This window comes from Homo sapiens, chromosome 5 (genome assembly GCF_000001405.40).
Source record: "Homo sapiens chromosome 5, GRCh38.p14 Primary Assembly".
Taxonomy (NCBI): Eukaryota; Metazoa; Chordata; class Mammalia; order Primates; family Hominidae; genus Homo; species Homo sapiens.
This window is the reverse complement of record NC_000005.10, coordinates 34189438-34212326: the sequence shown is the minus strand read 5'-3', so window position 1 is coordinate 34212326 and position 22889 is coordinate 34189438. Positions and strand designations below refer to the sequence as shown.

General features: G+C 40.0%; 1 protein-coding gene and 1 pseudogene across 2 annotated transcripts in view, besides 6 other annotated features; one reads left to right on the top strand and one right to left on the bottom strand.

The window, feature by feature from the left end:
* Positions 1–22889, top strand: part of C1QTNF3 (C1q and TNF related 3) — a 226867-nt gene that overhangs the window by 32398 nt on the left and 171580 nt on the right. The gene's annotated exons all lie outside the window — the stretch shown is intronic.
* LOC646652 (integral membrane glycoprotein-like pseudogene) lies at positions 18123–22746 on the bottom strand (annotated as a pseudogene). Its single transcript, NR_157803.1, has one exon. The product of NR_157803.1 is annotated as an integral membrane glycoprotein-like pseudogene (transcript).
* Positions 18670–19650: an enhancer, noted in NCBI's record as "H3K27ac-H3K4me1 hESC enhancer chr5:34192782-34193762 (GRCh37/hg19 assembly coordinates)". NCBI's record gives its function as "activates a minimal SCP1, AML or CMV promoter by ChIP-STARR-seq in naive and primed H9 embryonic stem cells {active_cell/tissue: H9 hESC(naive and primed)}" and the evidence as "EXISTENCE:reporter gene assay evidence [ECO:0000049][PMID:30033119]".
* Positions 19651–20632: an enhancer, noted in NCBI's record as "H3K27ac-H3K4me1 hESC enhancer chr5:34191800-34192781 (GRCh37/hg19 assembly coordinates)". NCBI's record gives its function as "activates a minimal SCP1, AML or CMV promoter by ChIP-STARR-seq in naive H9 embryonic stem cells {active_cell/tissue: H9 hESC(naive)}" and the evidence as "EXISTENCE:reporter gene assay evidence [ECO:0000049][PMID:30033119]".
* Positions 19665–19744: an enhancer, noted in NCBI's record as "active region_22459". NCBI's record gives its function as "activates an Ori minimal core promoter by ATAC-STARR-seq in GM12878 lymphoblastoid cells {active_cell/tissue: GM12878}" and the evidence as "EXISTENCE:reporter gene assay evidence [ECO:0000049][PMID:35858748]".
* Positions 20633–21613: an enhancer, noted in NCBI's record as "H3K27ac-H3K4me1 hESC enhancer chr5:34190819-34191799 (GRCh37/hg19 assembly coordinates)". NCBI's record gives its function as "activates a minimal SCP1, AML or CMV promoter by ChIP-STARR-seq in naive and primed H9 embryonic stem cells {active_cell/tissue: H9 hESC(naive and primed)}" and the evidence as "EXISTENCE:reporter gene assay evidence [ECO:0000049][PMID:30033119]".
* Positions 20644–20823: an enhancer, noted in NCBI's record as "active region_22458". NCBI's record gives its function as "activates an Ori minimal core promoter by ATAC-STARR-seq in GM12878 lymphoblastoid cells {active_cell/tissue: GM12878}" and the evidence as "EXISTENCE:reporter gene assay evidence [ECO:0000049][PMID:35858748]".
* Positions 22468–22537: an enhancer, noted in NCBI's record as "active region_22457". NCBI's record gives its function as "activates an Ori minimal core promoter by ATAC-STARR-seq in GM12878 lymphoblastoid cells {active_cell/tissue: GM12878}" and the evidence as "EXISTENCE:reporter gene assay evidence [ECO:0000049][PMID:35858748]".

Below are 22889 nucleotides of genomic sequence, written 5' to 3'. Positions count from 1 at the left end.
ATGGTAATGCCTAGGTTTTCTTCTAGGGTTTTTAGGGTTTTAGGTCTAACGTTTAAGTCTTTAATCCATCTTGAATTAATTTTTGTATAAGGTGTAAGGAAGGGATCCAGTTTCAGCTTTCTCCATATGACTAGCCAGTTTTCCCAGCACCATTTATTAAATAGGGAATCCTTTCCCCATTGCTTATTTTTCTCAGGTTTGTCAAAGATGAGATAGTTGTAGATATGTGGCGTTATTTCTGAGGGCTCTGTTCTGTTCCATTGATCTATATCTCTGTTTTGGTACCAGTACCATGCTGTTTTGGTTACTGTAGCCTTGTAGTATAGTTTGAAGTCAGGTAGCATGATGCCTCCAGCTTTGTTCTTTTGGCTTAGGACTGACTTGGCGATGCGGGCTCTTTTTTGGTTCCATATGAACTTTAAAGTAGTTATTTCCAATTCTGTGAAGAAAGTCATTGGTAGCTTGATGGGGATGGCATTTAATCTATAAATTACCTTGGGCAGCAAAGACTTGGAACCAATCCAAATGTCCAACAGTGATAGACTGGATTAAGAAAATGTGGCACATATACACCATGGAATACTATGCAGCCATAAAAAATGATGAGTTCATGTCCTTTGTAGGGACATGGATGAAATTGGAAATCATCATTCTCAGTAAACTATCACAAGGACAAAAAACCAAACACCGGATGTTCTCACTCATACGTGGGAATTGAACAATGAGAACACGTGGACACAGGAAGGGGAACATCACACTCTGGGGACTGTTATGGGGTGGGGGGAGGGGGGAGGGATAGCATTGGGAGATATACCTAATGCTAAATGAGGAGTTAATGGGTGCAGCACACCAGCATGGCACATGTATACATATGTAACTAACCTGCACACTGTGCACATGTACCCTAAAACTTAAAGTATAAAAAAAAAGGGGGTATACACACATTCAGGTATCAAGCAGTGGCACCTCATGCAAAATAATAAACTCATCTAAGATCCTAGGAGTTCATTCAGAAAATAAAGCTGGAAATATATCTTGGATATGTAAAATGTGAGTGTAAAAATTAATGAAACTAAGCAATGGGAATATGAGTAGTAAATTATTTGAGAAAATATTATAACATTTACTTTTTTAAATTTCAAAACTATATTTCCTTATTTAAAACTGAAAATTTTTGTGTACATATATGAAACTAATTGTGTCATTTTTCTTTTTGTTACAATATAGAGTGATGTTTCAAAACACAAACATAATAGGTAGAGTCAATTACTTAGGGGAGTTTAAACCTGGAGGTAACATTAGAAATAGAAATAATAAAATGCAGTGTTTTTGGATTTGTCTGTTAAGATTATTTTAATCCAAATCATATTTAGTGGTTTACATAGTTGTATATCAAATTTGGTTTCACAAATAAATTATATAGTAAATTAAAAAATGCAAAAAATGTATATTGTTATACATTCTGTAACCTATGAATCCATATAACTTGGGCAAGAAAATTATATAATTAAAAATAAAACCTTTCTGTTCTGAATTATGTTTTAGGGACAGCTATATAGTTCACACTCACAAAGGAATCATAAAAACTCTATGTATAATCTTGGAAGTAAAAATATCTGTTGTATCATATTTATGAAGTATACAATTGATTAAAAATGATAATGTCTGTCTTCTATCCAATGGCAGTAACAGAAGATAATGGCATATAAGTAGGCCTGTCTCCTTTTTTTTGGCATTGATTTATATATCTTTACTAGCTTTGTTGTTTTAACTCCAATAAAAGATTATTTAGTAAGCCAAAGCAAAAAAAAAAAAATTATGTGAGCAGCCACAAACTGAAAGACTACGATTTTTAGTCAATGTCCTAAGCAACACAGTAATTTTAGGTTAACCAATGTGTCAAAGAGAATGAGAAAAAATTATTACAAAAATGAATAAATAAATAAACTTGTCTAGGTCAAACCGTACTCCTTCTAAAGAGAGTAGTCAATTGATATTAAAGCCTATGACGTAGTATGTGCCATATTGAGTATGCAATATCAAAATATTTCTTCTTTTTCTTTCTCCAGCTACTGCAAACCCTAATTATTTCCTTATCTGATCACTTTAAAGTCATTCAACAAATCATAATTATGCCATTGTTAACATCAGAAACTGAAAACCTACTGTCAAAAGTGAGCTAAAATATCACTATTTGGATTTATTTATAAATTTAATTTATTTTATAAAAAGATTGACTTTCAATTTGAGAATAACATAAAAAATCAATTCATTCCTCTGTGCATCAATATTGTATCATTGGTAGTTTAAACTTTTCATCTAATATTAGATTGCATGCAGGATTTTATATCTAATTGCTCTGGCAGATGTCCTTTAGAAAATTCAAAAATAAAATGCAGCAATTCATATTGGCAGATTTACTATTGAGACCAGTGCTTTCTTAACTAAAAGGTTTTGTTTAAAATCGTTAGTTTAGGAAATCTGATAAAGATTTTTGAATATCAGAGCGTTTAAGAGAGATTCTTACTTTACATCTGGCATATTTCTTGTATTACATATTATAATTTCATTGAACATGGCTGTCTGTAAAACTATATATATGATCCGGAAGAGACTCAAACTAAATTAAGTTTTAACAGCCATCAATTTATTTTAAAATGACACAGGCATGAAAAATGATCTATCAAGGTTTGTAAATCTTATTCTGTTAGCTATTGCTAGAGATAGTCTAAAGATATTCTACTTGGAATTTGAGATCAAGACAAAGATTTTCTATTAGTAATAATATTCAGATTATTTCTATTTTAATGTATAAATTTAAAATTCTTAGAATATTTTCAACAATATTTTCCATTTCTAAATTTATTTTATTTCTAAACAAATGTAATTACTTTATTTATTAACTTTTATTTTCAGTTCAGGGGTATATGTGCAGGTTTGTTATATAGGTAAACCTATAGGTAAATAGGTATACAGATTATTTTGTCACCCAGGCATTAAGCCTATGCGCGTTAGTGAAAAATGTTATTGCTTTAAATATCCAAATTATTCAGCTGCATTTGATCTCATTCTTTAGTCCAATGTAAGTAAGAGTAAAACAATGACATTTAAGGCCACCAGGCTATTCTCATTTTCGGAAAAATGCTGGATTACATTACCAGCATATTCATTCGAGAATATCAAGGTGTAATATCTCCCTAGAAATTGTCTCACCTTCAATACTATTGACATTTTTGGACCTGATAATTTTGTTGTGGGCTCTAGCCTCGTATTATAGGAGGTTTACCAGTTTTCCTGCCCTAAACTTACCGGATGTGAATAGCACACTCCACTACCTACAGCAGTAAAAACTAAAATTGTCTCTAAACATTGACAAATGGTCCCTGGTAGTGAAAATCACCCCTGGTTGAGACCGTGTTGTTGAAAATAAAACAAAAACTTTCACATCAATAAATATGTTAGGCTGTGTATGTTAAGGATTAACATTAAGACAATATGGAGCAAGCACTACATGAAAGCAGTGACGATTGGGAATTAGTGGCACATTATCCTAATAGTTAATATAGTGACTGTAATATCTAAATATCATCATATAGAGTTTTTCTTAGATTTTTTCATTAGTATAACTTAGGATGTTGTGTATGTTACACTGTATATACTGTTATTTTGAGAGACAATTTTGGGAGATTTTGCCAAGGTATTTTCAATTATAGGTCTTTAATACATTCTAAGCAAGTGGGTCTCAAAAATGGGAATTTTACACCCCACATTCTTCTTCCCATCCGGTGGACATTTGTCAATGTGTACAGATATTTCTGATTAAAAAAAAAAAACTGTGAAAGAGAGGGTGTGCTACTGGCATCTGGTGGTCGAGGCTAGGGATGTTGCTAATCATCTTACAGTGTACACGATAGTTCCCCACAATGACTTTGAGAAACCCTGCTCTGACACTACTGCAGGATGAATTTTAAGCACAATTATAAGAGAGGACCTAGATATTGAGTTTTAAAAGGAGAAAATATAAGTACAAAAGAAGAATGAAGATTGTTATAACAGGGGCAAGTAGAAGTTAGAAGAAAATGTGATAAAATAAATCTACATTTTAGAATAGTACTGGAAGTTATTATCAGGTGTTACAGACAAGTTTGAGACTTCCGTAAGTGACCTAAAGAAATTATGGACACTGCAAGACTAAATAATCATTCATTTAGGAAGGAGCTTAAAAGCACTTTCTCAAGGCCGGGCGAGGTGGCTCACGCCTGTAATCCCAGCACTTTGGGAGGCCAAGGTGGGCAGATCACGAGGTCAGGTGATTGAGACCATTGTGGGTAACACGGTGAAACCCCGTCTCTACTAAAAAATACAAAAAAAATTAGCCGGGCACGGTGGCGGGCGCCTGTAGTCCCATCTACTCGGGAGGCTGAGGCAGGAGAATGGCGTGAACCCGGGAGGCGGAGTTTGCAGTAAGCTGAGATCCCGCCACTGCACTCCAGCCTGGGTGACTGAGTGAGACTCTGTCTCAAAAAAAAAAAAAAACTTTCTCAAGCATGCTAAGTCACACAATTTGAGTTATCCTGAGCTTTTTTTACTTTAAGTTATCAAGCCATTGTTTGGAATCTTCAGAACCTCTTTAGAGTTTGGGATTTAAGAGTCAGTAGGTAGATAGTGAGCTTAAGATGCCAAACACAACATATAAAGCTATAAAAATCCATATGATCTTGAAAGATTAAATGGAAGCCCAGCACAAAACAATTGCTGAGTATATTATTTACATTATCTGAAAGTATGCCAAACAGACACTTTATATATTAATAAAGATATGAGAAAGAAAATTCCAAAGAGTTTCTAAAAAGTGAACAACCACAAAATTTAAATAGCTTGCAACAAACATTTTCTTCTCACTCATGTTACCTGATGGAAAATCAAATGGCTGCCTGGAGACAGCATGGAGGGAGAGACTGATTACTGAGGTGCACAAGAAAACTTTTCATAATGATGGTTGTGAATGTAGTGATATTTCCAAAAGTATATACATATATATATATATATATCTCAAATTTGACCACATCACACATTTCAAGTATACTGAATTGACTGTGCATCTCTTATTATACCCCAGGAAAGTTGAAGATACGACAATGAAAAAAAAATTCTTCCACCGACTACCCATCAATTTTCTTCTCATTAGCCTCACAGATTTCACAGTTAATTAAAGGGAAGATGCAAATATGTTCAAACTGTACATATTCTGAGGCCCATACCTTGCCATTAGCTCAATAAAGAGAGACATTGTCCCTGGCATGAAAATGAAAAACTTGCACACTCCCTATGTGGCTTCTGGACACTCTTAAGACATGAACACACTTTGGGGGCTCACCCTGTCAGGGTTTGCTCTCAGAGCTTAGATGAGAAAAACACAAAAATAAAACCAAAAGGTGACATTTAGATGCCCATCAAGAAAGATGTGTTGGGAACTGGACAGGTCAGGGCTTTAAGTACTGTATCTTACTGTATGTTTAAGTACTGTATGTTACTGTAGAAACTTACCCATTTTCCCCTCAGAACAACTCTGTCTCAGGAGGTGAGTCTGAGAGCTACTGTTTCTTTGTAAAGGTTTTATCTGATCAGGCCCACGGTCACCACGTCAGCCCCACTGCCCCTAAATAGTTTGAATCTTGATGTTTTGATTTCAAAGACTTCTGATTCTAGCTACATAGCTTTGTCCATTTCCCACCTTACCACTATTTACTTTGAATTTTGTTGCATGCCGAGACCAGTGACTGCCACAAATGTGACTGTTCCTAGAATCTGCTTTCTGCTCTGATCTTTAGTCAGTGTGCAGACTCTAACATAAACTCCTTTCTATCGTATTTTCTTGAGTCCAAGAGCCCATAGATTGTATAATGCACTATTTTATGTCCCGTTAAGCAAGTAATTCGCACTGTGGCTAATTAAACTAAGACATACCACTGAATTGTAAAATGCATTATATTTTCAGGAGATATTAAAATATGAAATGTATAGGTCTTGGAATAGATGAATTGTGACAGTATCTTTGGAAAGCTAATTCAGTTGCAGTATTGCTTAAGATGTCTTTAAGAGCTGACTTCCTTTAGTTGGAATACATATGTAAATTATTTGCAGAGGAGATTTACCTCTTTTATCTCATTCATTTGTTTATTCAGTCATTTATTGATATCAATATGGACTAAGGAAAATTACATTTTTGGGCATAATCCAAATATAATACCAATTAATGTATTGTGTTGCTAAAATTATTCTAGAAATTGAAAGACCTTTCACTTGGCCCCTGTGCTTGTTTGACATATCTCACAAATAGATTTTTGTTAGTATTTTCATAATTTCTGGCACTAGAGGATGTCCCAGGCTCATCTTGTGTATTTTCTTCCCCATTCTTAGAATCAGCCACTTTCAAAGACGCCCTGCTTTCTATATATGAAATCAATATTTAAGTGCTAGCTGTGCCTGTAGCTAAGGGAGTATCAATTTTTTCATAGCTCTCTAAGATGAGAGAGCAAAGAAACAATGTGTATATTCTTACACATATGTAGACACATATCTTTAAATATTTCTATATGTAAACATCTATATTAGTCCATTATCCCATTGTTATAAAGAACTACCTGATCCTAGGTAATTTATAAAGAAAAGAGCTTTAATTGCCTCACAGTTCCACAGGCTGTACAGGAAGCAAGGATGGGGAAGCCTCAGAAAACATACAGTCATAGCAGAAGGCAAAGAGGAAGCAGCCACATCTTACATGGCTGGAGAAGGAGGAAGAGAACTAAGAGGGAGATGCTACACACTTTTAAACAACCAGATTGTGTGAGAACTAACTCATTATCACAAGAACAGCAAGGAGGAAATCTGCCCCCATAATCCAATCCCCTCCCACTAGACCCCTCCTTCAACACTGGCGATTACAATTGGACAAGAGGTTTGAGAGGGGACAAAATGTAAACCATATCACCATCTATGTCTCTATTAAGCTAAACATGGGTTCTTACTGATGTCACTACCTCTAACCTAGTCCCGCAAGCATCAGTGCCTTCCTGTATCTCTAAACCCCCACTCCAACAATAAAAATCCTGACTCTTATTTTGTGACATCTATTTAGTTAATTGTTCACTTCCAGTATATGTATATAGCTGTACCAGAATTGATAACCTGCCCTTAGTAGAAGAACATCTTTATCAACTAAATTAAATGCCTTCGTACAAGTTTCTTTTGCCTTTCATCTTAAGAGACTGCACTCATTTTCAATATCACTTTGACTAGCACCCTTTCCCTTAAGTCCCTCACTGAAGTTATTTTGTATGGTTCATAATAGAGCTAGATAAATTTGTAACAGTCTGCATTCCATCCTGAGATTCTACAACCTTTTAATTAATTTTTAATTAAAAATATAACTTTTATTTTGGTAAATATTAGCACTTCTGTGCCACACTACTATATATAAATATCAAAAAAAGGTCCAGAAAGCTATAGAAAATTTAAGTAAAGTGCTGAATGTTGAACCTAACAATAACTGGGCTAAAGTAAGTACAGAAGGCAATTTTTTATTTATGTAAATTTATGGGATACAAATATAATCTTATTACCTCCATAAAGTACATAGTGTTGAAGTAAGGGTTTTAGAATATACATCACCTGAAAAATGTACATTGTACTCATTACATAATTTCTCATCATCCCCTCCTCCCACCCTCCTGAAATTTCCAAGTCTCTGTTGTCTATCATTCCACATTCTATGTCCATGTATATACATTATTTAGCTTCCAGTTATAAGTGAGAACATGCAGTATTTGTCTTTCTGTGTCTGATTTGTTTCACTTAAAATAATGACCAGTTACATCCATGTTGTTACAAAAGACATGATTTTATTCTTTTGTATAGCTGAATAGTATTCTATAGGGCATATATGCCAGATTTATTAATCTAATTATCCACTGAGGGACACATTGCTATTGTGAATAGTGCTGTGATAAACATATGGGTGCAGATACCTTTTTCATATAATTATCTGTTCTCCTTTGGGTAGATCTCCAGTAGTGGGATTGTTGGGTGAAATTGCGGTTTTATTAAGAATGTATATTCTGTAGTTGCTGGGTAGAATTTTCTGTAAATGTCAGTTAGGTCTATTTCATCTAAGGTTGAATTTAAGTCTTATGTTTATTTGTTTTCTGTCTTGATGATAACATTTAATGCTGTGAGTGAGATGGTAAAGTCTCCCAGTATTACCGTATTGCTGTCTATTCCTTTTTTATGTCTAGTAATATTTATTTGATGAATCTTGGTGGTCTAGTGTTGGATGCATATGTGTTTAGAATTGTTATATCCTCTTGCTGAATTGATCCCTTTATCATTATGTAATGACTTCCTTTGTCATTGTTATACTGTTTTAGATTTAAGTTCTGTTTTACTTGATATAAGTATAGCTATTCCTGCTTGCTTTTAGTCTCCATTACATGGAGTATCTTTTTTCACCCATTTACTTTAAATCTGTATGTGTCTTTACTTTTCAGTCTGTATGTGTCTATATGTTTCTTGTAAGCATAATATTTTTGGATCATTTTTTAGTTCGTTCCATCAATCTACCTTTCTTTTTTTTTTTTACTTTTAGATGGAGTTTCACTCTGTCATCCAGATTGGAGTGCAGTGGCGCAATCTTGGCTCACTGCAAACTCCGTCTTGCAGGTTCAAGCGATTCTCCTGCTTCAGCCTCCCAAGTAGATGGGATTACAGGTGCCGGCCACCACGCCTGGCTAATTTTTGTATTTTTAATGGAGATAGGGTTTCACTATGTTGGCCAGCCTGGCCTCGAACTCCTGACCTCGTGGTCCACCCACCTCGGCCTCCCAAAGTGCTGGGATTACAGGTGTGAGCAACTGCACCTGGCCCAATATCTATCAATCTATATATTTTAAGTGGAATGTTTAATTCATTTACATTCAAGGTTAATATTAATACATGAGGTTTTCTTTCTGCCATATTGCTATTTGTTTTCTACTTGTTTTATAAGTTCTTTGGGGTTATTTTGTTGTTGTTTTTTGTTTTTCTTTCTGTCTGTCTCTTTGTCTTTGTGGTTTGGTGGAAATCTGTTGTGTTGCTATTTGATTTCTCGTCCTACTTTGTGTGACTGTTTTACAAGACCTATGAGTTTGCTACTTTCATGTGTTTTGATGATGATGAATGTTGACCTTTCATTTTTGTGTTTGGGACACCTTTGAGTATTTCTCATAGGACTCGTTTAGTGGTGACGAATTCCCTCAGTGTGTGCTTGTCTGGAAAATACTTTGAATCATTTCAAGAAAATTAGCAGTGAGTTATGTCAATCAAGCCATTGGTTTGTATTTGGTGGCACATTTACTCTGTATTATTTCACACTAGAACCATCTGAGTTAAGTTTTATTATTTGCTATATGTTGCAGATGAAGAAACTGAAGCTGAGAGAGGTTTAGTGAATGACTAAAAAGGTTGTCAGGCTGCAGGGAAAAAAAAAACAAAAAACTGTATGACTAGCCTGCAATGCTTCCCAAAGTATGCAGCTTATTATTATTGGTCACTTTTTGAGTACAAAATGCTGTGCTATGCAACAAAATAATACAATGTACATATGTATAAAAGTTAACATATACATATCAATTAACATAAGCATAACTGTAATCACATATACTGATAAATAAAAATATAAAGTAATATATGGTAATGACCCAACCATTTGCCTAAGTTTCATGTATTACAGAAGTTTTGAGGAGGGACTTCAGCTGTATGCAAATCAGCAATTCGGGTTGTACAGTTGATTACCCATTAGTTCAGAATTTTAATAATTTAAAATGTATTTATTAAGAACCTAACAATTGGAAGACCTTACAATAGGTGGGAAAATTCGACAGATGAATAATGCTTAGGAGATATCAGCATGTTTTGGAAGGATATTCCCATGAAGAGAAAAAGTATTGTGGGAAGTGTGGGAAGTGTTATGGTGCGAGAGTAATATAGGTTCCAGCATGTGTTTACATTATTTTGTTGGAGGTGTTGGGGAACCTTTCATGGAAGGTGTGTGGTAGACTGTTGGACAGGTTTCCTCAACTTTCGTTCCACTCTTTGAAGAGGTTAGAAAATTAAAACAAAACAAAACAAGCAATGCAGCTTCCCTTGAGCTAGCTTTATGAATGCAGCTTAGACCACTTACCGATTGTTTGCATATGAATCAGACTTAGAAAAATGGAAGAGATCAAAGCCTGTCTTGCTATTGTTGATTCTGGCAAGTGAAATCATGGAGACAATAGTTCAGAAGTAGTGGAAGTGGTAGGATTCAATATCCTTGTGCCTAATCCCCAGTTTCATGGGCATAAGAAGCTTAAAGTTTTAATAGTAGGAGCATCTTTTTGACCCAGGATTGCAGAAATGATTGCGTGCCTTTGAATTCAAGAACTCAAAACCTTCCTCCATGCCACAGCTACTTTAGTTATTTTAGCTCTTCCTATTGTATATGTATGAAATGCACTTTCTGCTTAAGATACCTATTGCGGTTTTTATTTCCTTATTAAAACCTTGGAAAAATATAGCACTTAAATGATGTTTTGTAGAAATTCACTAAGCAAATAAAGCTAAAGGGGGAGACAGTTAACCTTCTCTGCCCCCTTTTTATCAGAAGTTTGTTGTAGAAGAAATACACAATTTTTGCGCAATTTTAGCACCATCTAAGTTTTGTAGGTCTGGAACACAGACTGGTTAGATGAGCATTTCAGGAGCACTATAGTTGCAAAGTTAAGCAGTCACCACAATTTTATGTGTCATACAAAGATTTTTAACTTTATGTTTAAGCAACGAGCCTAGAAGCAAATGGTATTTCCATCAAGAATTGTCTCATATAAAGTAGAGCGTTTTGGAAAATGAAGTTATTAATAGATAAAAACATGTTTATAGAGTTGGTTTCTAAGTATGACAAACCTATTTCTTGGTAAATTGCAAGTCCATTCCACCTGTGTTTGTAGGTTCATTTGCCTAAAAGTCTTGGGATTTTTTCTGATGATCTATTAAATTTTCTTTCTGATTATCTTTTCTAATGCTGTAATAGCATTTCTAACACTGTAATGAAAGAGAACAAAAGTACACGCTTGCTCATCATTTACTAATTCTAAAAATATATATTGAATACATCTATGTAGCAGGTACTGTGGTAGGTGTGGAAGATAGTTGAGACAGGTAACAAGCCCAACATTACGGAGCTTAGCATCACCACATAGAAGAGTTTTTAAAAACCATAGATAAGTGAATAATGATTATAAAGACAAAGAGATTCTTGCCATATAATTACATATAAGCAAATTTAGGATGTGATGAAAGATTTTGATATTGGTCTTCTGATTTGGCTGTAGGATGAAGTGTTTATAAGTCATCCCAAGGAAGAAACAATTCAGATGAGAACTATTCAATGGATTTGCAATAACAATCCAAAGATGGAAGAAAACACTTCCAGGTAGACAAAATTGCAAGTATAGAGAATCTAAATTAAGAGAGAGCTTAGCTTTCAGATGAATTAAAAGATTGTGGTGATCAGAATGTAGAGATTGACGAGAGACAAATGAAATAAAACTAGAAGGACAAGTAGAGATTTGTGGGTCAAGTTTTTTAATTTTATTATAAATGCACTGATACTGTTCTGAACATTTTCTTACGCATGGAAATTTAATGATTATGGTATTGAAAAATGTAACTCTTCATTTATATTTTTCCGAGAATGAAATCGGTGGAATTGCTGGGGGGTGAAAATGTCCAATGCAAAACAGGAGGCTAATTTAAGAAGGGATACTGCAAAATTGGTCATGATGGCTCAAACTGCTGTTCATAATAGAGAGAAGAAAATGGATAGAGTTACATATGGATGAGAGTAAATTGACAAGGCTAAATGCTAAAACGTGGGTAGTGACAGAAAGTAGGTGTCAAAATAGACTTCCAGGAAAAGAAAAAATGGGTCTACAAAAGAGCCAAATGCTGATCTGGGTTACATGATCCTGAGCAGATGCAGATGTAATTGGTTAAGTAAAGTAAGTTCTTAAGATAGATTTGGCCTGGCGCTATACATTCTAGAGCCCCTGAATATAAGTGGGATATAAAACCATGGGAATGACTGTATTTGTCTAAGGAGAGAATTTGGCAGAAGAAAAGGAGACATAAGATGAAATGCAGAGGAAATTCAAATTTAATTGGCAGGTGTAGGAAGACAAGGAGATGACAAAGGGAACTGGAAATGAGTAATCAGAGACAGAAAAGTAAAAGTAAGAGTAGAATGTCATGGAAGGCAAATAATTGGAATGTTTCAAGAACAGGGAAATGGGCAATAAAGAGAAGAAAAAAATAGTGACCAGAGGGTATGGTAATGTGTAGAAATTCATCCTGTGTTAGGTTTGATTGCTTAGACGTTTTATATAAAAATCTTTCCCAGAGAGTAATAAAACAGAAGTGAGGTTAGAGAAAGAACATACGATTTAGCCAAAAGGTGGGAAAAGTTAGGAAATGAAGAATAAATATGTTTAAAGATAATGTTATGGCTACTCAATGTACAACCTCTTTTCTTTCATTATTTTTAATTGTCATATTTAAAAATAGTAATTACCACTTTTAAAAATTGTCTTATTATTTGTTACATAAGAAAATGCATTAATTCAAGCCACATAGTATCATTTATATTATGACTGTCGAAACATTACTAGAATTACTAGAACTATTAACCTAATGGCCTGAAAATTTCAACTCACTTCCCTAGCTGTCCTGATGATCATTAGTGAAAGGAAAGACTCCATTAAATAATGCTTACTTATAGAGAACTGGTTATATCTGTCTCATTTCCATACATATATCTATATAAATTAATTTGATTAATAAAACAAACACAAGGCACAAACAACAAAACACAATTTATAAATGTCATTGAAAAATGCATGCCTGTACAATTTGGGTATTTGTAATTGTAAATTGATATACTTCATTTTTTATCCAGGAGTTACTTAGATTGAAACTTTACCTAATGTATGATAAAATAATACGTGATTAAATTTAAAAACATGATGAATTTATTTAAAATTGGCTTCAATAATGTCAGAAAGTAATAAAATAAAATGATTCCTTCAAAGACTGCACCTGTTTATTGCCTGAGATTATCTCTCTTGGCCACAAATCAATATTACTTTCTTTCATTCATCAGTGATAAAGCTTTTCAATAATTCTAATTTTAAAGGATGATTACAGCAAGTATATAGTCATTGATTGCTTAAAGGTTGCAGCTAAAATGAACACAATGGTCATTTTATTTTTAATAAATGAGCCCTTTTGAAAAGTCAAGCATTTTTCCTCTCACAAAACTTTGTGTAATAAGATTATAGATTTGATCATGTATGAGTTTGCACTGTGTGTGTGTATATATGTGTGTGATTTCAGCGATAAAGTTCACTGTTCCACAGCTGGCAATTTCTTCTGCTTAATTGAAAATTCCGTTTTAAAATATTTCTTTAAAGTTCTAAAATGGGTTTAAATGGGTTCATGAGCTGTAATACTATTAAAAATATATATATCTACATATTTGTTGATTCTTCTCAGTTTAAGAAGTGGAGCTTCATACTCCTCCCCTTGAAGGCAGGCTAAGCTGAGTGACTCCCATCTAAGAAATAAAACACCACAGGATTGGAATGTTACCTTCTGAGACAAGGTCACAAAGGCTAGGGTTTTAATTTTGAGTGAACTAATTTGCTCCTTACTGGTGTTTCTCTCTCTTTCTCTCCTTCAACTCTTTACGAGCCCAGCCACCATGCAAATAATTCCAAACTATCTTTTCTAGAAAGCTCACATGAAGAACCGAGGCATCCTATCTGATATCCAGCCAAATGATTAAACATTCTAGAAGCAGACTATGATGCACTGAATTTGTGAAATCCTAACCCCCAGTGTAATGATAGTAGGAGGTGGAGCTTTTGGTAGATGATAGTCTGTCTTCATGTTGGGGATTAGTGCCTTGATTATTATTTTTTATTTTTATTTTTATTTATTTATTTATTTATTTTTGAGACAGAGTTTTGCTCTGTTACCCAGGCTGGAGTGCAGTGGTGCCATGTCAGCTCACTGCAACGTCTGCCTCCTGGGTTCAACTGTTTCTTCTGCCTCAGCCTCCTGAGTAGCTGAGTAGCTGAGACTACAGGTATGCACCACCACACCTGGCTAATTTTTGTATTTTTAGTAGAGACGGGGTTTCACCATACTGGCCAGGCTGGTCTGGAACTCCTGACCTCGTGATCTGCCTGCCTCAGCCTCCCAAAGTACTGGGATTACAGATGTGAGCCACCGTGCCCAGCCGGGGATTAGTGCCCTTATAAAAGAGACCCCAAAAAGCGTCCTTGACCCTTCTGCCATGTGAGCTAGAGGACAGTAATCTATGAACTAAAAAATGGGCTCTGACCAGACACCAAATCCTCAAGCACCTTGATTTTGCACCATCCAGCCGCCGGTACCATTAGAAACATTTCTGTTGTTTATAAGCTACCCTGTCTATGGTATTCTATAGCGACAGTGCAAACAAACTAAGACATGGACCTTCCAACACAAGTTAAAGGCTTCGGGGGATGCTGCCTGGGTCAACAACATGACAGCAACCTTTACTCATGAGAGACTTCGAGTCAGAACCACCTACCCAAATCCATCATTTCCCTGACTTCTATAAATTGTGTCATACATATTTGTTATTTTAAGCCATTAAGTTTTAGGGTAATTTTTAAATGGAAAAATACATGATCATAGGTAAACTATAATTAATAGAAAAATCTAATGCCAATAATATTTACCATTGATTGACCGTAAAAACTCCACTAATTATTTGCTTTCCATTTATATTTATTTTGGGATTTCTTTTATAAGAGAATGGCACCTGTGACAGCATACTGTTAATATTACCCTTGTATCGTACTTTACCATGCCATCTCTGAAGAATATTACAGACCATTTTGGAGCATGGTGAATAAGAAATTTTTACCTTAGGAGTTCACTTGAATAGTCATTTTTATATTTGTGACTGCAAGTCACTTTTAGGGGCTGTACTTCCTTAGTACTGGTAGCATTATTATCCAATGGACTTTTATAGCTTTCATTAGGTTTTCTTTTGTTTTTGTTCTTTAAAGAACGTTTTACTTAACTTAGTATTTCATTTTTCATCTATATTATGAGGCAGTAAGAGTCTTCTGTTTTTCCAAAGTTGAGACTGCTTTATATTTATTTCGTATTGTCTACAGCTGTAGTGTTCAATACATTAGCCACTAGCCACATGTGGTTATTTAAATAAGATGAAATAAAAATTGGCCAGGCGTGGTGGCTCACGCCTGTAATCCCAGCACTTTGGGAGGCCGAGGCGGGCAGATCATTAGGTCAGGAGATCGAGACCATCCTTACTAAGACGGTGAAACCCCATCTCTATTAAAAATACAAAAAAATTAGCCGGGCGTGGTGGCGGGCGCCTGCAGTCCCAGCTACTCAGGAGGCTGAGGCAGGAGAATGGCGTGAACCTGGGAGGCAGAGTTTGCAGTGAGCCGAGATGGCGCCACTGCACTCCAGCCTGGGGGACAGAGCGAGACTCCATCTCAAAAAAAAAAAAAAAAATTAAAAATTAAGTTCTTTAGTTGCACTAGCCATATTTCAAATACTTGATGGATACATGTGGCTAGTGGCTAACATAAGGGATAGCACAGATATAAAACATTTCCTCGTCATATAAAGTTCTATTGGATAGTGCTGGTCTGTAGCTTATAGGATGGTATCTTAGTCTGCTTCAGCTGCTAAAACAGAATACCGTAAATTAGGTAGCTTAAACAGTAGATATTTTGACCAGGCGTGGTGGCTTATGCCTGTATTCCTAACACTTTGGGAGGCCGAGGCAGGTGGATAACTTGAGCTCAGGAGTTTGAGACTAGCCTGGGCAGCATGGCAAAACCTTGTCTCTACGAAAATTAGCTGGGCATGGTGGTGCACGCCTATAGTCTGAGCTACTTGGGAGGCTGAGGTGGGAGAATTGCTTGAACCTGGGAGGCGGAGGTTGCAGTGAGCCATGATCGCACCACTGTACTCCAGCCTGGATGACAGAATGAGACTCTGTCTCAAAAAAAACAAAAGCAAACAAACAAAAAAAACAGATATTTCTCACAGTTGTGGAGACTGGAAGTGCAAGATCAAAGTGTTGGCAAATTGTGTTTCTTAAAGAGGGCCTGCTTCCTAGATTGGAAATGGCCATCTTCTCTCAGTATCCTCACATGGTAGGGAGAAAAGCAGCTCTAGTGTCTCTTCTTATAAAGGAAGTAATGCCACCACAGGGGCTCTATTCTCATGACCTCATCTAAACCTAATTCTCTCCTAAAGGCCACGCCTCCCAGTATCCTCACCTTGGGGGTTAGGGCTTTATCATATGAATTTTTTTTTTTTTTTTTGAGACAGAGTCTCGCTCTGTCACCCAGGCTGGAGTGCAGTGGCACAATCTCGGCTCTCTACAAGCTCCGCCTCCTGGGTTCACGCCATTCTCCTGCGTCAGCCTCCTCAGTAGCTGGGACTAAGGCGCCCGCCACTGCGCCCGGCTAATTTTTTGTATTTTTAGTAGAGACGGGGTTTTACCATGTTAGCCAGGATGATCTCGATCTCCTGACCTCGTGATCCACCCGCCTCGGCCTCCCAAAGTGCTGGGATTACAGGCATGAGCCACCGCGCCCGGCCTATCATATGAATTTTGAGGGAACACAAACATGCAGTCTGTAGCAGATGGTAATAGGCTGATATATTACACTTGTTGATGTAAATCTGATAGGTTTCTTTCTCTCCAACGACAGCTTTTTAAATATTTAACAGTATCAATAATTTTTCAGTTTCTGTGAGAATTTTATAATTTGTAATTTGCAGATTAATGTATAATCTATTTTGTCCTAACAATTACAAATATATTTTTTATTTCAGATTATATATATTCCTACCAGATGGAGATGATTACAGCTTTAAAAATTTTTATTTTTTCATTTTATTTCACATATTGACATTAAATTTTTATGGACACATAATAATTGTACATATATATGGGGTACAATGTGATGTTTTAATACATGTACTCAATGTGTAATGATCAAATCAGGGTAATTTGCATAATGATTTTTCTGTAGGGAGAAAATTCAAAATCTACTCTTCTGGCTATTTTCAAATATATAATATGTTATTGTTAACTATACTCATCCTACTATGCAATAGGACACCAGAACTTATTCCTGGGTTCTACATCTGTTAAGCCAACCAAGGATTGGAAATATTGGAAAAAAAAATTGCGTCTGTACTGAACATGTAAAGACTTTTTTCTTGTCCTTATTCCTTACACAATATAGTACAATAACTATTTGCATGACATTTACATCGGATATTATGAGTGATCTAGAGTTGATATGAAGTATATGGGAGGATGTGCAAAGGTGATGTGCAAATACTATGTCATTTTATATCAGGGACTTGAGTATCCTTTGTTATCCTCAGGAGATCCTGAAACTAGTCCCCCATGGATACTGAGGGCTGACTGTATATTCCTATCCTCACGGAACTTTCATTCTAATGGGGGAAGACTGACTATAAACAAAATATATGTAATAGGTGGTGGTAAGTACCGTGGAGAAGTAACAAATGGGGCAAAGTGAGTTATACAGCTCCATTCTTAGAAACCTTGGAGTACTTTTCTTAGTTTATACTCGTGGTGGTTTCCTTTTGTCTCCTTTATTACATGGGACTCTGACATGTGCCCATAGCTAGGGTGGCAGTAGGATCTACCCGAAAAGCGTCCTGCTGATACAGGACCAAAGCATCCTGTTGTTCTCGAGCCTATAAAAAGAGCTAATGGTCTTGCTTCTCTTAACTGTGGCCTCCTACACTGTGTTTTGGATGATTGGTGATGTCTTGGATATTCTGTTTCTTTGGAACTTTGAATATACAACACTTTACTAGGGAATTAGCAATGGAAGCAGAGCAAAGATGTACAGAGGAAACAATGCATAACTCTGATGGAATTGAAGTCATGAGGCAGCAGAGAGCTTAAATTAGAGCTTTAAAAATTTTTATTTTTTAGAGGGAATTTAATTGGGAGTAACAGCAGTAATAGTTAACGGAGCCAGAATGCTTGAGTCATATAATTGCAAAGCAGAGTTGGGAGCAACAGATGCTAAAGAGTAGTTGCTGTAGTTCCTCTTTGGGTCGTAGGAGCAGTTGTCATGTTACTATACAGCTACTGAATGAAGAAGAGTTCTTAGTGAGGCCTGGGTGAACAGCTCTTCTTAGTATTCTGTGTGACCCCATTCGACCTTTTAACAAATCCCTAAGTAAATAAATAGCCCCTAAGGTAAACTAAGTTTTTCTCTGCTGTTTTTTTGCTTGAGAGAGCTATAACTGTAATAGACTTATATTTCTGAACATTTTAGTGCTTGCCAATATTTGGTAATATTTATGTTTCCTATATTTGTAATGAACATTCTTCTTCAGGTACATTTTTTGTTAAATTATTGTTTCATGCATAAAAGTTCACCTTTTATTGTATAAAATTGACTCAGATTAATTTATACACATTGACAATGGGTAAATAGAGTTTTTCAGATTATTAAAAGCTGAAGGATGCCCATGTAAGCAAAAAAAAAAGAGAAAAAACCAACAAAAATAAACCCAAACCCCTCAAACAATTTCGAACACAAAACATTCTTCTCACGCCGGCATCCCTGCTTGCAGGTGTGAAGGGGGCAGGAATCAGCGAGGTGTCCTGGGCTGAGTCCCCGGAGTGGGAAGAGGTGGCCGGAAGGGGATCTGAGGAGGAGAACAGGGGTCCTGGTGGTCTGTGCTTCTTCCCAGACACGGGAGCTGTAGAGGAGACCTCTGCAGCAGATGCTAGGGGGGCCACTAGGCCCAGGCAGTCTTGGGACTTGGGTCTGTCCTGCTGTGCATCCATAGTGGGTGCTTTAGAAACGGGAGGCCCACCCGAAGCCCCTGTTGCAAGTGAGGACAAAGTGTGGGAAGGCCGTGAGGGTCTGCAGTCCGAGATGGCCTTGTCCTCAACGTGCAGTGCACTGTTGATGCGGGGCCTAGAGGCCTGGGATCTGGGGGAGCCACCCCTGGGGGCGAGTGTCTGCCCTGGTGCTGTATCTGCCTTTTCACAGCGGGTGTCACGCGAAGAGACAGCCTGAGGTCCGTCCTCACTCACTGTGTTTGAGGAACTGAGGGCCAGCTGGCAGTGGGATGAGGCTGGCCCCCTCCTCCGCTTTAGTTCCTGGAGGCCTTCCGTAGAGCTGTGGGAGCTGGAGCTGGCATTTCGTTTGAGGCAGGATCTGGTCCGGGAGGTCTGGGATCTCTGGTTATATCTCACTTGTGACCTCCGGGCACGTGCTGCAGCTGTGGCTGAGGCCAAGAAATGTGAGGGGCCTTCATCCACTGCATTGAGTAGTGACCCCGACGTGGGGTTCAATGTGGAGGGGGGAGGGGCTGCTGCGGCAGCTGCAGGAGCCGAGGTGCCAGGCCTTGTTCTTCTCATGCTGGCATCCCTGCTTGCAGCTGTGAAGGGGGCAGGAATCATCGAGGTGACCTGGGCTGAGTCCTGGGAGTGGGAAGAGGTGGCAGGAAGGGGATCTGAGGAGGAGAACAGGGGTCCTGGTGGTCTGTGCTTCTTCCCAGACATGGGAGCTGTAGAGGAGACCTCTGTAGCAGATGCTAGGGCGGCCACTAGGCCCAGGCAGTCTTGGGACTTGAGTTTGTCCGGCTGTGCATCCATAGTGGGTGCTTTAGAAACGGGAGGCCCACCCGAAGCCCCTGTTGCAAGTGAGGACAAAGTGTGGGAAGGCCGTGAGGGTCTGCAGTCCGAGGTGGCCTTGTCCTCAACGTGCAGTGCACTGTTGATGCGGGGCCTAGAGGCCTGGGATCTGGGGGAGCCACCCCTGGGGGCGAGTGTCTGCCCTGGTGCTGTATCTGCCTTTTCACAGCGGGTGTGACGCGAAGAGACAGCCTGAGGTCCGTCCTCACTCACTGTGTTTGAGGAACTGAGGGCCAGCTGGCAGTGTGATGAGGCTGGCCCCCTCCTCCGCTTTAGTTCCTGGAGGCCTTCCGTAGAGCTGTGGGAGCTGGAGCTGGCATTTCGTTTGAGGCAGTATCTGGTTCGGGAGGTCTGGGATCTCTGGTTATATCTCACTTGTGACCTCCGGGCACGTGCTGCAGCTGTGGCTGAGGCCAAGAAATGTGAGGGGCCTCCATCCACTGCATTGAGTAGTGACCCCGACGTGGGGTTCAATGTGGAGGGGGGAGGGGCTGCTGCGGCAGCTGCAGGAGCCGACCTTGTTCTTCTCATGCCGGCATCCCTGCTTGCAGCTGTGAAGGGGGCAGGAATCATCGAGGTGACCTGGGCTGAGTCCCGGGAGTGGGAAGAGGTGGCAGGAAGGGGATCTGAGGAGGAGAACAGGGGTCCTGGTGGTCTGTGTTTCTTCCCAGACACGGGAGCTGTAGAGGGGAGCTCTGCAGCAGATGCTAGGGGGGCCAGTAGGCCCAGGCAGTCTTGGGACTTGGGTCTGTCCTGCTGTGCATCCATAGTGGGTGCTTTAGAAACGGGAGGCCCACGCGAAGCCCCTGTTGCAAGTGAGGACAAAGTGTGGGAAGGCCGCGAGGGTCGGCAGTCCGAGATGGCCTTGTCCTCAACGTGCAGTGCACTGTTGATGTGGGGCCTAGAGGCCTGGGATCTGGGGGAGCCACCCCTGGGGGCGAGTGTCTGCCCTGGTGCTGTATCTGCCCTCTTTTCACAGCGGGTGTGACCCGAAGAGACAGCCTGAGGTCCGTCCTCACTCACTGTCTTTGAGGAACTGTGGGCCAGCTGGCAGTGGGATGAGGCTGGCCCCCTCCTCCGCTTTAGTTCCGGGAGGCCTTCCGTAGAGCTGTGGGAGCTGGAGCTGGCATTTCGTTTGAGGCAGGATCTGGTCCGGGAGATCTGGGATCTCTGGTTGTATCTCACTTCTGACCTCTGGGCACGTGCTGCAGCTGTGGCTGAGGCCAAGAAATGTGAGGGGCCTCCATCCACTGCATTGAGTAGTGACCCCGACGTGGGGTTCAATGTGGAGGGGGGAGGGGCTGCTGCGGCAGCTGCAGGGGCCGACCTTGTTCTTCTCATGCCGGCATCCCTGCTTGCAGCTGTGAAGGGGGCAGGAATCATCGAGGTGACCTGGGCTGAGTCCCGGGAGTGGGAAGAGGTGGCAGGAAGGGGATCTGAGGAGGAGAACAGGGGTCCTGGTGGTCTCTGCTTCTTCCCAGACACGGGAGCTGTAGAGGAGACCTCTGCAGCAGATGCTAGGGGGGCCACTAGGCCCAGGCAGTCTTGGGACTTGGGTCTGTCCTGCTGTGCATCCATAGTGGGTGCTTTAGAAACGGGAGGCCCACCCGAAGCCCCTGTTGCAAGTGAGGACAAAGTGTGGGAAGGCCGTGAGGGTCTGCAGTCCGAGATGGCCTTGTCCTCAACGTGCAGTGCACTGTTGATGCGCTGGAATGCCGCCTGTTTTTCCAGGTGCAGGTCTTCAGCCGTGACCCGGTACCCCAGCTCTAAGGGAGGTGGCATCATCAAAGGCTCCCCTCGCCTGCTTGGCAGCAGGGGAATCTTGCGTCTACGGGGCCTAGAGGCCTGGGATCTGGGGGAGCCACCCCTGGGGGCGAGTGTCTGCCCTGGTGCTGTATCTGCCGCCTTTTCACACCGTGTGTGACCCGAAGAGACAGCCTGAGGCCTGTCCTCACTCACTGTCTTTGAGTAACTGAGGGTCAGCTGGCAGCGGGATGAGGCTGGTCCCCTCCTCTGCTTTAGCCCCGGCAAGCCTCCCGTGGAGCTGTAGGAGCTGGAGATAGCATTTCGTTTGGTGCTCGAGCTCGTCCAGGATGTCTGGGATGTCTGGTTATATCTGATTTCTGAGCTCTGGGCATGGAGGTCTGTCTGCAGAGGCCCGGGCCTGGGCACAAAGGGAGAGAGGCCTCCATTGTCCCGCAGGGGCCAAAATGCAGACCGTGCATCCCCGGTGACCTCGGGGACCGTTCTGTGATCATCAGGATTTTCTTGGACTCTGGGGTCCTTGTCCTGCTCAGGCATCCCTGCCCTGCTCTCCTTGAGGGCCCTCAACACTATCTTCCCTGGACACAAGTCTGGGGACAGCCGGGTGTTGAGGAGCCCAAAGGGGTGACTACCTGCTCCTGGGCCCCACAGAGTCCTTGTGCTGAGTGTAGTGGCTGAGCTGGGGGATGCCCTGGAATTCGGAGCACACAGCACTGGCTTACTGTGGTACCTGTGCAGTGAAATTGAAGAGAGAATCACCAGGATGGAACACAGGTCTTGCAGGATCACGGAAAACCTTCTTAGAGTTGTCTTGACACCACTGATGTCGAGTGTCCGGGTGTTTGTAGGATGGCCTGCCACTCAGTCCAGGGGCAGGAGCAACGGGGAGATCCCACAAGCAAAGTGAACTGGGCGATGGGCTGAAGGGGCTCCAGGCAACTGAGCCCTACTCGCAGGTCCTCGGCCTTGGCCCAAACAGGAATGAGGGGCACAGAGTGCCCGGGTAACCGCTCCTGGGAGCAGTGGGGAACTGTCGGATACTTGAACTCTCGAGAGCTGGGCTCTGAGCGTCCTCGTCCAGCTGCCAACTTGGCCAAAGGCTAAGCCAGCAGATTGTTCTGTTGCCGGGCGACGCGACTTCTAAACCTGAGGGAGTGGGCACGTGAGCACATAATGGCACCAGTGACAGAGCGACCATAATGGATTAATAAGCGCAGCCAGGTACCCGCGCAAGGCACTTGCTGGCAATGGCAGG